At 39.6% G+C, this 14,369-nt stretch overlaps 4 annotated features.

Moving 5' to 3' along the window:
* Positions 5,965 to 6,480: an enhancer, noted in NCBI's record as "H3K4me1 hESC enhancer chr7:92668331-92668846 (GRCh37/hg19 assembly coordinates)". NCBI's record gives its function as "activates a minimal SCP1, AML or CMV promoter by ChIP-STARR-seq in naive H9 embryonic stem cells {active_cell/tissue: H9 hESC(naive)}" and the evidence as "EXISTENCE:reporter gene assay evidence [ECO:0000049][PMID:30033119]".
* Positions 6,682 to 6,821: an enhancer, noted in NCBI's record as "active region_26277". NCBI's record gives its function as "activates an Ori minimal core promoter by ATAC-STARR-seq in GM12878 lymphoblastoid cells {active_cell/tissue: GM12878}" and the evidence as "EXISTENCE:reporter gene assay evidence [ECO:0000049][PMID:35858748]".
* Positions 7,513 to 8,027: an enhancer, noted in NCBI's record as "H3K4me1 hESC enhancer chr7:92669879-92670393 (GRCh37/hg19 assembly coordinates)". NCBI's record gives its function as "activates a minimal SCP1, AML or CMV promoter by ChIP-STARR-seq in naive H9 embryonic stem cells {active_cell/tissue: H9 hESC(naive)}" and the evidence as "EXISTENCE:reporter gene assay evidence [ECO:0000049][PMID:30033119]".
* Positions 10,809 to 11,540: an enhancer, noted in NCBI's record as "OCT4-NANOG-H3K4me1 hESC enhancer chr7:92673175-92673906 (GRCh37/hg19 assembly coordinates)". NCBI's record gives its function as "activates a minimal SCP1, AML or CMV promoter by ChIP-STARR-seq in naive and primed H9 embryonic stem cells {active_cell/tissue: H9 hESC(naive and primed)}" and the evidence as "EXISTENCE:reporter gene assay evidence [ECO:0000049][PMID:30033119]".

Consider the following 14,369-nt stretch of genomic DNA (forward strand, 5'->3'; position numbering starts at 1 on the left):
AAAGAGAAGATCCAAATAAACATACTTAGAAATAACAAAGGGACTATTACCACTGACTCCACAGAAATACAAATAATCATCAGAGACCACTATGAACACCTCTATGCACATAAGCTAGAAAATCTAGAAGAAATAGATAAATTCCTGGACACATACACTCTCCCAAGGCTGAACCAGGAAGAAATTGAATCCCTGAACAGACCAATACTGAAATTGAAACAGTAGTAAGTAGCTTACTAACAAAAAAGGCTCAGGACCAGGTGAATTCACAGTCAAATTCTACCAGATGTACGAAGAAATATTGGTACGATTCCTACTGAAACTATTCCAGAAAACTGAGGAGAAACTCCTCCCCAGCTCATTCTATGAGGCATTATTCTGATACCAAAACCTGGTAGAGACACAACAACAACAACAAAAAAAACTTCAGGCCAATATCCTTTATGAACACTGAAGCAAAAATCCTCAACAAACTACTTGCAAACTGAATCCAGCAGCACATCAAAAAGATAATCCATCATGATCAAGTAGGCTTTATCCCTGGGATGCAAGGTTGATTCAACATATGGAAATCAGTAAACATGATTCATCACATAAACAGAAATAAAAACACCACATGGTCATTTCAATAGATGCAGAAAAGGCTTTCAACAAAAGTAAAATCTCATGTTAAAAACTCTCAATAAACTAGGTATTAAAATAACATACCTCAAAATAATAAGAGCCATCTATGACAAACCCTTAGCCAATATCACACTGAATGAGCAAAAGCAGGAAGCAATCACTTTGAAAACTGGCAGAAGACAATGATGCCCTCTTTCACCACTCCTCTTCAACATAGAAGTTTTGGCCAGGGCAATCAGGCAAGAGAAAGAAATAAAGGGCATCCAAATAGGAAGAGAGGAAGTCAAACTATTTTTGTTTGCTGATGACAGGATTTTTATATCTAGAAAATCCCAGAGTCTTAGCCTAAAACCTCCTTCAGCTGATAAAACAACTTCAGCAAGGTCTCAGGATACAGAATCAAGTACAGAAATCACTAGCATTCTTATATACCAACAACAGACAAGACAAAAGCCAAATCAGGAATGTTTTCCCATTCACAATTGCCACAAAAAGAATAAAATACCTAGGAATACAGCTAACCAGGGAGCTGAAAGATCTCTACAATGAGAATTATGAAACACTGCTCAAAGAAATCAGAGATTACACAAACAAATGGAAAAACATTCCATGCTCATGGATAGGAAGAATCAATATCATTAAAATAACCATACTGCCCAAAGCAATTTACAGATTCAATGCTATTCCTATCAAACTCCCAATGACATTTTTCACAGAACCAGAAAAAACTATTTTAAAATTCATATGGAAAGAGCCCAAATAGTCAAGGAAATTCTAAGCAATCCTAAGGAAAAAGCAGGAGGGATCATGCTACCCAACTTCAAACTATGCTATAGGGCTACAGTGACCAAAACCAGCATGGTACTGGTAAAAAAAAAAAAAAAAACAGACACATAGACCGATGGAACAGAATAGAGAGCCCAGAAATAAGGCCACAAACCTACAACCATCTGATCTTTGACAAAGCTGACAAAAACAAGCAATGGGGAAAGGATTCACTGTTCAAAAAATGGTGCTGGGATAACTGGCTAGCCATATCCAGAAGACTGAAGCTGGAAACTAGACCCCTTCCTTACACCATATACAAAAATCATCTCAAGATGGGCTAAAGACTTAAATGTAAAACCCAAAACTGTAAAATCCCTGGAAGACAACATAAGCAACATCATTCTGGACATAGGAATGGGCAAAGATTTCATGACGAAGATGCCAAGAGCAATCGTAACAAAAGCAAAAATTGGTAAGAAGGTTCTAAGAAAACTAAAGAGCTTCTGTAGAGTAAAAGCATCTATCAACAGAGTAAACAGACAACCTACAGAATGGGAGGAAATTTTTGCAAAGTATGATCTGACAAAAGTCTAATATCCAGCATCTGTAAGGAACTTAAAAAACCATTAAAAAGTGGGCAGAGGACATGAACAGATACTTTTCAAAAGACAACATACATGCAGCCAACAAGCACATGAAAAAAAGCTCAATATCACTGATCATTAGAGAAATGCAAATCAAAACCACAATGAGATACCATCTCACACCAGTCAGAATGGCTATTACTAAAAAGTCAATAACAGATGCTGGCGAGGTTGCAGAGAAAAGGGAATGCTTATACACTTTTGGTGGGAGTATTTATTTACAATAATTGTGGAAAGCAGTGTGGCAATCCCTCAAAGAGCTAAAAAAAGAACTACCGTTCAACCCACCAATCCCATTACTGGGTATATACCCAAGGGAATATAAATTGCTCTATCATAAAGACACATGCATGTATATGCTCATTGCAGCACTATTTGTGATAGCAAAGTCATGGAATCAACCTAATTGCCCATCAATGGTAGTCTGGATAATGAAAATGTGGTGTATATATATACCATGGAATAATATGCAGCCATAAAAAAGGATTAGATCATGTCCTTTACAGGAACATGGATGGAGCTGGAGGCCAGTATCCTTAGCAAACTAATGCAGGATCAGAAAAGCATATACCACATGTTTGCACTTATAAGTGGGAGTTAAATAATGAGAACACGTGGATACAAAGAGAGGAACAACAGACACTGGGGCCTACTTGAGGGTGGAGGGTAGAGGGTGAGAGGAAGGAGAAGAGCAGAAAAAATAAATATTGGGTATTAGGCTTAGTGCTGGGGTGACAAAATAATCTATACAATAAACCCTCATGACACTAGTTTATCTATATAACCTGCACATGTACCCCTGAACCTAAAAGTTAAAAACATATATATATATAAAGATATATAAATATATGCAACATATATGAAGAAATAATATAGATTCAATATAAAAGTAATTATAATATATAAAATTACACATAATATTTAATGTTCTTAAAATATATTACTTAGATAATTTCAAATAAAGATTAATTTGCGATGTCAATCATTTTTAGACAATCAATAAGACCAATTCTGATTATCTGAACTTTCTGGTTGTTTGGATTTTGACCAAATGTGGGTTTATCACCCTTAATACTCATGTTTTAGGAGCAAATTTAGTCGACTACAAAAACTATCATAGTCTAGAGATAGCCATAGGCAAGGCTGAGTGACAGAGGGGCTAAAGCAGGTTCCTTGATCTTTCTTTGGGCTTCAGATGTGACTGTAGAGAACTCTTCCTGGGGAAAGCTGATGGGACCTGGGCAAGGATCCCAGCCCTCTGCTGGCCTCATAGGCTGAGTGACTGATTTAGAGTGCTTGGGGTCAGTATGAGTTAGAGAGATTCAACTCATCTATTTTGCTGAGGCAGCTCATCTATTGGCTCTATAGTGATGTGGATATTACTGACTTTTCTCAGTTTTACATGAGGCCAATTGAAGGCCTGTCCTGAAGTTCTGCCTTCAACAGTGCTAGTGTCATAACCACCATGGAGGAGTTGAAAGAAGCATAGAGGTGAGTCTTCTCTGTATTAATTTTCTTCCCTATCCCCACTTTGAACAGCAGGTTGAATTAGTGAAATGTTGTGTGTGTGAAGCAAGTGCCCCACCTTAACTCCTGGCTTTAATTGCATTGTTACCATTAATTTATCCTACTTTATTATAGTAGATAGCTTCAAAATTGTGTTCCTAGCACAATCACTTTATCTGGTAAATCCCTTCTTGATTGGCTTTTGTGGGAGTGGCCATTTTGTATAACATGATCCTGCTCCTTGGCTATATTTAATTGGTTCATGGATAAGCACTTGACTACATGGGCAGGTACATAATCCAAACTGGATGAGTCATAGTCTCTTTTTTTCTGGCTTTGACTGAGACTACAGGTGTTAATATTTGCATCAGAGATTGGTGACTGACTGACTCAAGCTAGGACAGTTAGAGCCTTTCCTAGAAGAGGCAGATAGAAACCCAGAGACTTGAGCTGAAGCAATGCGATATAAAAACCTGGTTGCTGTGAATAGCTGTGTTTCCTGCCACGTGGAAAGAATCAGTCTGGGTGAACAAGAATGAAACTGACAAGCAGAGCAAAACAGAGACTGCAGCAAGATGCAGGGGTTACTTAAAGCCCTGGTTACAGTTGTCCTTAAGGCTGATGTGAATCTCTGCCCTTTCCAATGTGTCATGTGATTGCTCCAAATTAAAACACCTATTATTATTATTTTGCTTATGTTGGTTTAAGTTAGGTTTCTGCACAAATCTTTACCACTTTTTCTTTTTTGTTTTAGTTTGATTTATGTTGCTATATAAATGCATTTATTGTATGACCCCTGAAATCTTTATGGAGCAAAGCAAGTTATAAGTCTACCAATCCAGGGGAGAAATGCATGTATTTATACCTTATACTGTGTGAGGACTAAAGAAAAGGTGGTAAGGGTAAAATCAGCAAGAAAAGTGAAAGTTGTGCTCAATTAACAAATTTTGGTGAGTGAGGAATTTTCTAAAGGCCATTTTTAAAGTTAGAGACCTAAAGTTTGGAAAACTGACATCGTTCTCAAGTAGGACATTCTTGGAATACTTTCACTTAGATTTAACCCATTTTGAAAGGTATCTACATATGCTATCCAGAAACAGTCTCTTTCATATTGTAGACAGTCAGTAAATGTTTATTGAATGAACCCATAAGTGTCCCTAGCTTTGAGGATCAGGATATTTCATTTAATTGACCTTAGGTAAGCTATTTAACTTTCATAGCAGTTTCTCTTGTGTTAAATGGTTATTGAAATACAGAAGATTACATTCAACATGAAATTTCAAAATTATTTCTGAGCACCTATTGTTAATATCACTATTTCCATCTTTAGCTAGTGTTCCTTCTTTAAGAGTCTGAAGTGAAGCATTGGTTCAGTACCTTCCTCATTAGTCAGTTGCCTCACCTTGAATCTGCATGACCTGGAAAAGAGGCTATGATGTGATCCATAGAATACCTCCTACCTTAACCTTCAGAACATCATCAGGACCTCTTGCATCTCGTTTTATTTTTGAGTTTTTATTTGTAACTATTTTTAAAGATATTTGATGTCTTTTATTATTCCAAAGAACTGAGGAAAAATTTACTTATTTTTCTTTTTTGAAACAGAGTCTCAATCTGTCACCCAGGCTGGAGTGCAGTGGGCTGTCTTGGTTCACTGCAACCTCTGCCTCTAGGGCTCAAGTGAATCTCCCACTTCAGCCCCTCAAGTAGCTGGGACTACAAGTGTGTGCCACCATGCCCGGCTAATTTTTAAGAAATATTTTGTAGAGACAGGGTTTTGCCTGTATAAAGCTTTATACAGGGTCCAATGGAGCTGCATGGTAATTACAAGATAGGATGGTAGAAATCTTCATGAGCCTATTTTTTCCATTTTGCTATTTCAACTTGCTAGGAATGATTTTAGCATTGCTATTTAATTGTTTTCAACTCTGCTTTTCTAAAAAGATTAAAATAATAAGAAAATGGAAGAATAATGAAACCTCCTGGAAGGAAATAAATAAATCATCATGGTGGCATCAAGCTTTAGTTTTCTTTTTGGGTTGTGCAAAGTATTGCATTTTTAAAAAGTAGGGAATAAGAGAAGTATGGAGATACATTTTTGCAGTCTTTTTAAAGACTAAACACAGTTGAGGATTTAAAAATTTCCATTTTCTTCCCATAATGGCAAAGAAAAATAAGTTGATAGAGGAAAGTATTATTCGATGGAACAGAAAAAGAATGCAAAGAGACAGGTATCAGCTTCCTAGGCCATAATGATGATAGTAAATTGGTCAGAGAAGTGAAATCTCAGGTATGAGTCCTCAGATGACAATATTCTGGGTATAATTTTTTCTCCCATACTTAAGAATCAATGAATGAACAATTCATTTCTAAATAAATAAAGAAAATATGGTATTCTCATCCAGTTAGTCATTCAACAGGAAATATTTTGCAATAAGAACTTAAACCATTCTGTTTTGCTGAAAAGATGTTGAGTATCTTTTATTGTTTCAAATTGTTTCAAAATTTATTCCATGTGGTTTATTAGCAAATGAGTTCTGAAGGCAGGTGTGTTTACAAAGGTTACTGGAAGAAAATACAAGATATAGAAGTAAAAAATTAACTGGATTATTTTAACTGGTGTTCATAAATCCAGAAATAAAATTTTTTGGCACTTATGGAGCAAAGAAAATGTCAGTCTTCATGCTGATGGCAGTGGTGGCCTGTCTGGAGCAGCCACTGCCATGATGCCCGCTGCAGTGGGGGAGGTGCAGCTGGGGCTGCAGACCCAGGCATCCCTGTGTCCTTGGGGGCTGGAAGCAGGCAGGATCCCCACCCTCCCAGGTGCTGCTGCAGCTGCCCAAGCCATGGCTGCAGATCTTGGCATCTCTGTGCTTTCAGGGTCCCAGGAAGCCCCTCTTCCCCCACAGGCTCCTGCTCCCTGGCCTCTCCCCACTGCTGGCAGCCGGTCTGATCTTGCAGCAAAGTTGAGGACCAGCCTGGGCGCTATGGCAACCTGGCTGGGTGTGCACAAGCTCAGGGCAGTGCTTACATGCCAGCCCCCTGCTGCCTTGGCCCCCACCAGACCTTGGGCACCAACAAACACAAGAGGGAGGCCAAAGGGGGTGCTGAGGACAGCTCTGCATTGGCCTGCAGGTGCCCCTCGGCATGAACAGTCTGGGCGCCATGAACAGCAGTAGGAGGCAGACAGGCTCCTGGGCCGAAAGGGACGGGTCCCCAGTGGAAGCTCACCTTCAAGCCAGAGAAAGCCTGAAGCCTGGGGGCCTGGCTGCCAGTCCCACAGACCAGGGTAGGAGATTACAGTGCTTTTTCTGGGTCACCCATGGACCAATCAGCACATACTTCCTCTCCTCTGAAGTCCGTAAAACCCCCAGATTCAGCCAGACTCAAAAAAGATGACAGGATGACCAGCTGCAGAGAGGAACTACCCACCCTAGGGTTTCCTCTCTGCTGACAGCTGAACACTCATCAGGACACCCTGGCTGTGGAGAGGAGCTATCCACTGTGGGTCTCCTCTGAGCTGTTTTATCACTCAATAAAGCTCCTGCTTTGCCTTGCTCACCCTCCTTTGTCCATGTACCTCATTCTTCCTGGATGCAAGACAAGAACTCGGGACCCACCAAATGGCAGGGTCAACAGAGCTATAACACAGGGCTGAAATGTGCCCCTTGCTCGCCACATTGTAGGCAACAAGAAGGACAGCAGAGAGAAGGAGAGAAGAAATGCGACCCTTTGGGGAGCTCAGACCTGGGAGCTCCCCAAGCCAGGGCTGTGACACCTCCTTTGGGGCTCAGCAATTCCTGCTGTCTCCAAGTTTTTGGGCACCAGTGCATTCCTTGGTGCCAGCCGTGGAAGCTGCTTGCAGTATGCAGTATGCAAGGCTAGTCCAGCTGCAGCCTTGCAGGGAGCCGACACCTGTGCTGGCTCCTGGAGTTCCCTGCCCCCACTGCCGCCAGCATGCCTGGCTGTGCGCAGTGGCCGGACACCTCACTTACCCACACACCCCTCACCGCTCTGCTCACCCTTGGCAGGCATGGGATCCAGGCCAGTAGCACGAGTTGAGTGCAGCCTGCCAGGCTGAGTGGGCCCAGCAGGCCCAAGCAAAACTTAGGCAAAGGCACCACCGGCCACAGAGATTTCCGGCTGGCGAAGCAATACCCTAAGAATCCTGTGACAATGCCAACACAATTCTGGTTTGTTAAAAATTTCAAATGTGTCACATTTTGATAAGGCCAAACAGAGCAGAACCATGAATATGCTAAAACCTATTAAAGAGTTATTTGAAATCAGGAATCAATATTTACACTATGGATATGCTGCAGGCTCCTGCATGATAGGTATGGCAGTTAGTTGAATTTTAAAGACGTCGTCTATTTTGGGTATAGATACCTTCAAAAGCAGGAAAATATGGAAAATTTAAATTTGCTATGCTTAAATTCTTATTAACATTTCTAACTTTTTTTTTTACTATCCCTTATTCTTACTTCTATCAATTATTTGCAAAATGACTTAAAAATATTTTTGAAAATATTTTAAAAAATTTAAAGGGTTTATTGGCCCCAGATGGTAAATGGTGATTTTTTTTCCTGGTATAATGAAGGTAAATGAGCTCTACTTGATGTATTTCAGTACATGTATCAATGTACATCAATAAGTGAATGGATAAAGGAATGACTCTAGACCCAATCAGTAAGAATATGAGGTGACTTTCAAAAAGAATATACAATAAAAGAAAGCAAGATAGAAAGGAGATCAAAGTGAAGGAAAAATACTTCTTTATTTTCAATTTCAGTGCTTGAGAAATAGAGCCAAATATAGCTACTGGTTGTAGCAACTACTGCAGTCTCCTTAGCTACAGAGAAGCCATGATGGCTCCTGTGCTGCTCATCAAGATTTCAAAGTTACAAAGTGAACCCAACTCCATGCCCAGTTCAGTTACAAAGTTGGAGACGGAGTTGTGCACACCTACAGGTATGTTATCTGAAAGAAGACATTGTGAGAACATAGAGCCTCATGACTTTGAAAAAAATATATTATACATCAAAATGCAATTTTTAATGAGTCTGCTTTCTGTTCCTATAAGCCAACTCCAACTCACTGCTTTGCAACTTGAGCCTTTATTCTTTATGCAACACTTATACTTCATTTCGTGCTGCCTTTCCCTTCTCAGTTGACAGTTCCAGTTTCCACAGAGGCAAAAAACAAAAACAAAAACAAAAACAAAAAACAACAACAAAAACAGCTGCATTTAAATATATATTTAAAATTTATGATATATATGCAAGGATGTTTATGGCAGCATTATTGATATTACTGAAGAATTTGGGATAACTTTAATGACCATAAATATGGGAAGGACTAAATAAAACATACACTGATATTCTGGAATATTATGGAGCCACTACAAATAATATAATACTGGTATTAAAGGCTATTCATGATTACATTTCTGAGTAAAAAGGAAGTTATAGAACAATATGTTTAACAAGATCCCATTAAAAAGAAGCGATCCTCTCTCTATAGGTACATTAAATGTATATTGCATGTATACAAGCATATGCAATACACACATATATTTTATACACATATATATTATACAGTATATGTGTTTGTGTGTTTAAAAAGACTGGAAAGATACTTGTTGGATTTGTAAGTGATTATTCCAGGGGAGTGGGAATGGAGGTAATTTTTACTTTTAATTTTAAACATTTTGGTATTGTTTTCTTTAACAAGAAGGTGATACATTAATAATTCAAAACTTTTTTTAAAGATAGAGCATATCTGCTATTGAGAGTGTACTTTGTAAGTGATGTCCATTTTTTTTCTCTTTCTCTCTCTTTTTTTTTTTTTGTAGAGATGGGGTCTTGCTATACTGCCCAGGCTGGTCTAAAATTCCTGCCCTCAAGCAATCCTCCTGTCTTGGCCTCCTAAAGTGGTAAGATTACAGGCATGATCCACTACACCTGGCTGGATGTCCATTTTTATGTATCTTCTCTAAAAATGCATTATGTGTACAACTGGGTCTTCAGTATCTGACTTTTCATCCCAGGCTCAAATGTTTCCTAGACTCTTAAACATGCCATTGTCACTTCTGAAGCATAGAAAAGGCACAGAGAGATAAAATGATTTAAAAAAAATCATCATCCAAGTTCTTGATAGTGGTAAGTCAACAAACTAAATCATAATTAATATTTTGCTTAGCCACCGATGAAGTGATATCAAATCTTATTAAATATGATTAATTAAAGCATTGTTGTAAATAAACACAAATCACTGACCACCTCAAAGCCTTTGCAGCCACTTTTGAGAAGTGCAGCTCTAAGACTAACTTGGATTTTTCCACTCCCAGTCTCATCCTCAGACAGCCCAATTACTGGGAAACACAAGGCTGAATTTGAAATTATTTTATGGGGGCGATTTTTCTGTCCCCTTACCCCCAGTTTCAACTCAATTAAGGATGCTTTCTTGTTTGGCGATTGCCCGATTGTGGGATATCTTCATATAAATTCCCCCAAAATGGAATCATGGATAGATATGTTGTAACAAACTGCACATTCCCTGATGTTTGCTTTTTTCGAAAATGCGTTAGTTCTACCTTCTTTTTAAAAATTCATTAATTCATTTATTTCTGCAAAGAGGGAGCGCCTTTAAGTCAACACACACACACACACACACACACACACACACACACACACACACACACACACACGAATACCCAGGTACTCAGGCCCATGCAGTCAGTCATTTACTAAATCAATCTAGGCTGGAGAGACTGTCATCCTTCAGCCCTACAAAGGGGCTCAGTGTGTGCATCTTGCGCGGAATTAGTGCAGGCAAACAGTTCCTGGAAGGGTGAACAGCTAGCTCATGTGTAAAATGATCGCACATCGGTTCCCCAGCTGCCGCAGCCCAGCGCCGGAGCCGGAGAGGCCAGGGAAGAGCCTTCCCCCGAGGCCAGCCAGGCAGAGACGCGGGAACATAAAACACATTCCAGCGGTTGGCATCTGGGCGCGCAGCTGCCAGGCGCAGCCACTGTGTGGCCGCGGGGGCTGCGGAGCGGGCGGGGGCAGAGCAGGTCCGGCGCCAGGCCTGCAGAAAGCGGCCTGCGGGCCAGTTTGGCTCTGCAGGCTGTGGCCTCATTACTGAGAGCAACAGTTTTATCTAGAAAGTGTGCTGTGGGGGATTTTGGAATCCTCCTCTGGGGCGAGGGCTTGGGGAGTAGCTTTGGCACTCCCAAGGCTCTGGGGTCGGGGAGCATTCCATGTACCGTGGTGTTCATGACTCAGGCAAAAGGGAAACCCCAGAATTACCACAAAGCTATCCCAATCCTGGCTTGGCATCACCAATCAGCTAAAAGCAATGTTTTCATTTAGCATTTAGGAGTGCACGTTTGTGTCTGTGTATGCGTATGCATATTTTTAAGAATGAATTCTCCCGATTTTCATCTTTGCAAATAGATTGGGGGTTGGGGGTAGACGGCCGGTAATGCCTATTAGAACTTCAAGGGATTGGTTTTCACATGAGAGAGCTTCAGAGATGAGAAATCGCTGAAATTATCTGGTAGCAGCTTCTGAGGGACATTTACCGTGGATTCACTTTTACATTTCAGTTCATTTGAAAGCCAGTATGGTTAAATTAACCAAAATCTAAATTAAAAAAAAAATTCCACGATTCTTCCAGGCCTACTTCACATCATCAAACCAGGCCCTGCTGGAGGCCCCATTAAAATGGCAGCTCCCACTGAGAGAGAGACAAAAGCCCCCTCTCTGAATGGGGATGCTGAAACAGTGATGGACTCTCAGAACTGCTTTTTTTTTTTTTTAATCCATTAAAAAAAAGTTACCTCTGCATTGACTGTGAGAGAGTATTTATTTCGCTCTCCACACTGTGGGAAACAGAGGCGTTCTCCCTTATAAGGACACCCAGACCTTCTTGGGAGAGGAGAGAAATATGAATCCATAACATGGCTGAACAAATTCCTCCTCGCAACTGAATTCATGGAATGTTTCAGACGTGAACAGCTTAATTTTGGTGTGGTCTGGGACAAATTAATATGACTCAAATCCCACCTCACAGAGGAAGCATCTCCTGATGAAGTGGGTGGGGTGAGTACACTCACTTCCTTCAAAATTCTGTCTAACAATCATCTCTATTAAATTTCAATATGTCTCACCCTCTCCCCCAGCAAGAAAAAAAAAACAAATAGGGAAATCAAGAACAAACTAAAAATATATCTAAAAAGCCTAACTGCAAAGTGTTCAGCAAATGATTATGTGAAATTTTAGGCTGTATGAATGATAATGAGTTTGTATACAACAGAATAAAAGCTTCTAGAGGGTAGTCCAGAAACTGTATTTTGGGAGTGAATACATTAAACAAGATCACTCTTCTAGGTTCTCATGAAATCCCAGTTATCGTTATTCCAACCCGGAAGGCTTAGGGATGAACAAGGACATATCATTCTTTTCTTCCAGAGGATGAACTGGACTTTTCACCTTAGCATTTAATCGGACACCACTCTTTTCCCATAGAGGTGCTCAGTCTCTAGCAGGGAAGGCCATTTATACATGAAAATGAACTGTAATGTTATCCTCTCCAGGACTAAATTTATTTACTTTTGTAAAATGGGAATAATTTCTTCACGCTTTCAAAGTGGAAAAATGATTGCTAGCACATATGGGAGTAGATTCTTGAGTGAAAGTTACTATAAATATTAAATATACAGTGGGATTTAGGAACCCACTTGCATGTGGCTCACACACATTACCTTATATTTACAGAAGGCAGTGGTGAGAAAGATTACTTTTCAATGATCAAAAATAGAAATCACGTTTATTTGGCTTTGAACTGCATCATATGCTTGTTCTTTCTACATATTTAGCATGTAATTATGTTTGGGTTTGGTTTGTGTTAAAAATTAGATTACATTTCCTGAACCACTGATAATCAGCAGAAGTTCTTCAAGAAGCAAGATGGGTTGTTAGGCACTTTGAGGTGGAATGCCAGCCAAGATGCCATTTTTGAGATGCCCCTGGGCTCTATAAGCACAGGAGACCATTAGAGACCATGAAATGCTGACAAACCCAGTGTGATAATACCACTCTGTGTGACAATCTCTGTAGTGGTAGAGGCTGTATATGTACTCTAGAACAGTGCTCCCATTCTAGAGTGGGGTTCTCAGAACACATGTCCCTTTCCAGATGCATCTGCTATACATAGTTTTTCTATAAGAACACTATTTTGATCAAGAATCAATAGGAGAGACATTTAATTTAATATCACTGTTAAGAGCCTTTGAAAAATGCTTATTAATAAAAGATACAAATTTATGCATCCCCTTTTCATTACAAGAATCATACACCATCAGAGGTAAAAGGAACATCCTTCAGAACTGGTTTTCAAATGCTTTTTTTGACTTGAAATAGACTCCTTTTAAAAATGGAATAAAAAGAAATAAAAGTCCACATGGCATTCCAATATGTAAAATAATACCAGTATGTCTTACTGAACAGGGGAAATACATAGGGTTTCAGAAGTTCATTTTGAAAATCACTGTGTTAACATGTTTCCTAAACTTCCTGAAAAAGAAACTATATGAATCATCTCAGGATGCAAAGGAATAGTAACAAACACAGAAATCCTAAAATATCGGGGAAATGGTATCATTGTACTAAGATGGCACCTACTCGTATACAGATGAAGAAATGGGAGCCTGATTGTTTGCAACAAATGGCCAAAGGTTGCACAGCTCCTTTAGGACAAATTCAGGATGCAAATTCAATGTTTTTCTCCCCAGCTTGCGGGTCACTATCTGATGCCGCCTCTGGAGTCTGGAATGCCTTTGAAATCAGGCTGTATGACACTCTAATCAATTTTAATGATCTAAAGCTTTTATAAATTGGTGAAAAATTTTATAGCACAAAACTACTTTCTACATTGTTCTGTGCTGCCACAAAAATCAATCACGATTCTCAGGGATATTTTTATGTTCATATATTGATGATAATCATTCCTTATATTTATGTAGCTAGATATGCATGGCTTAAACACCACCACATGCATTCTGGGACTGGACATAGGACATGACATCCTTGACCAGTAAATCCCTTGAATGAGTGCATTTTCCCCCTCTGTGCATGTCTCCTTCTCGTCCATTGTCTGTCTCCTTTTCATGCCTGTCAGGCGATGGCCATGACTGTGCACTTATAAAGGTCAGTGACCCAGCAGAGAGGGCAGGCCCTGCAGAAGGCGTGTTGATGAAGCATTACAATGCACACTGAATTTGTTAGCTCTCTGGCTTACTCCCAGGGGCAGGCTACAATTGTTTCCTGTGTGGCATGGCACCCACCCGGAACTCTTATGGTATGGGCCATTCCAACCAGGAATCTCTAAACCACATCCTACAAAATAAACATCCCATATTTCCCAGCTCACTAGATTCTTATACCTGGCTCTCCTTCCCTTAATTTGTACACTATACCCAGTGAAATGAATTAAAACAGAGTTATCTCTTATTTACATAAACAGCCATAGGGAGGTTTTCAAGGGATTATTTGCAAAACTGGGAGGCCACATAGATAATAATAAACTCACATCTTTCAGGTTGAAAACTTTTAGAAGGCTGAGGTCTTAAGCCTCTTTATATTACAAATACTAAATTAAACAAAAACAGACATGGCATTTCCTTTGAGATTGTCTCAAGGAAGGCAAGCATTTATTTCTCTCTTTGGAGCATCTACCTTTTAATAAAGCAATGATTATCTAGAAATGGAAACCTGTGATTCAAAAATAAAAGATTCACCTAAAATTTCAAATTTGCTGTAATTT

The sequence above is a fragment of the Homo sapiens genome, chromosome 7, assembly GCF_000001405.40.
Source record: "Homo sapiens chromosome 7, GRCh38.p14 Primary Assembly".
In the NCBI taxonomy this organism is placed as follows: domain Eukaryota; kingdom Metazoa; phylum Chordata; class Mammalia; order Primates; family Hominidae; genus Homo; species Homo sapiens.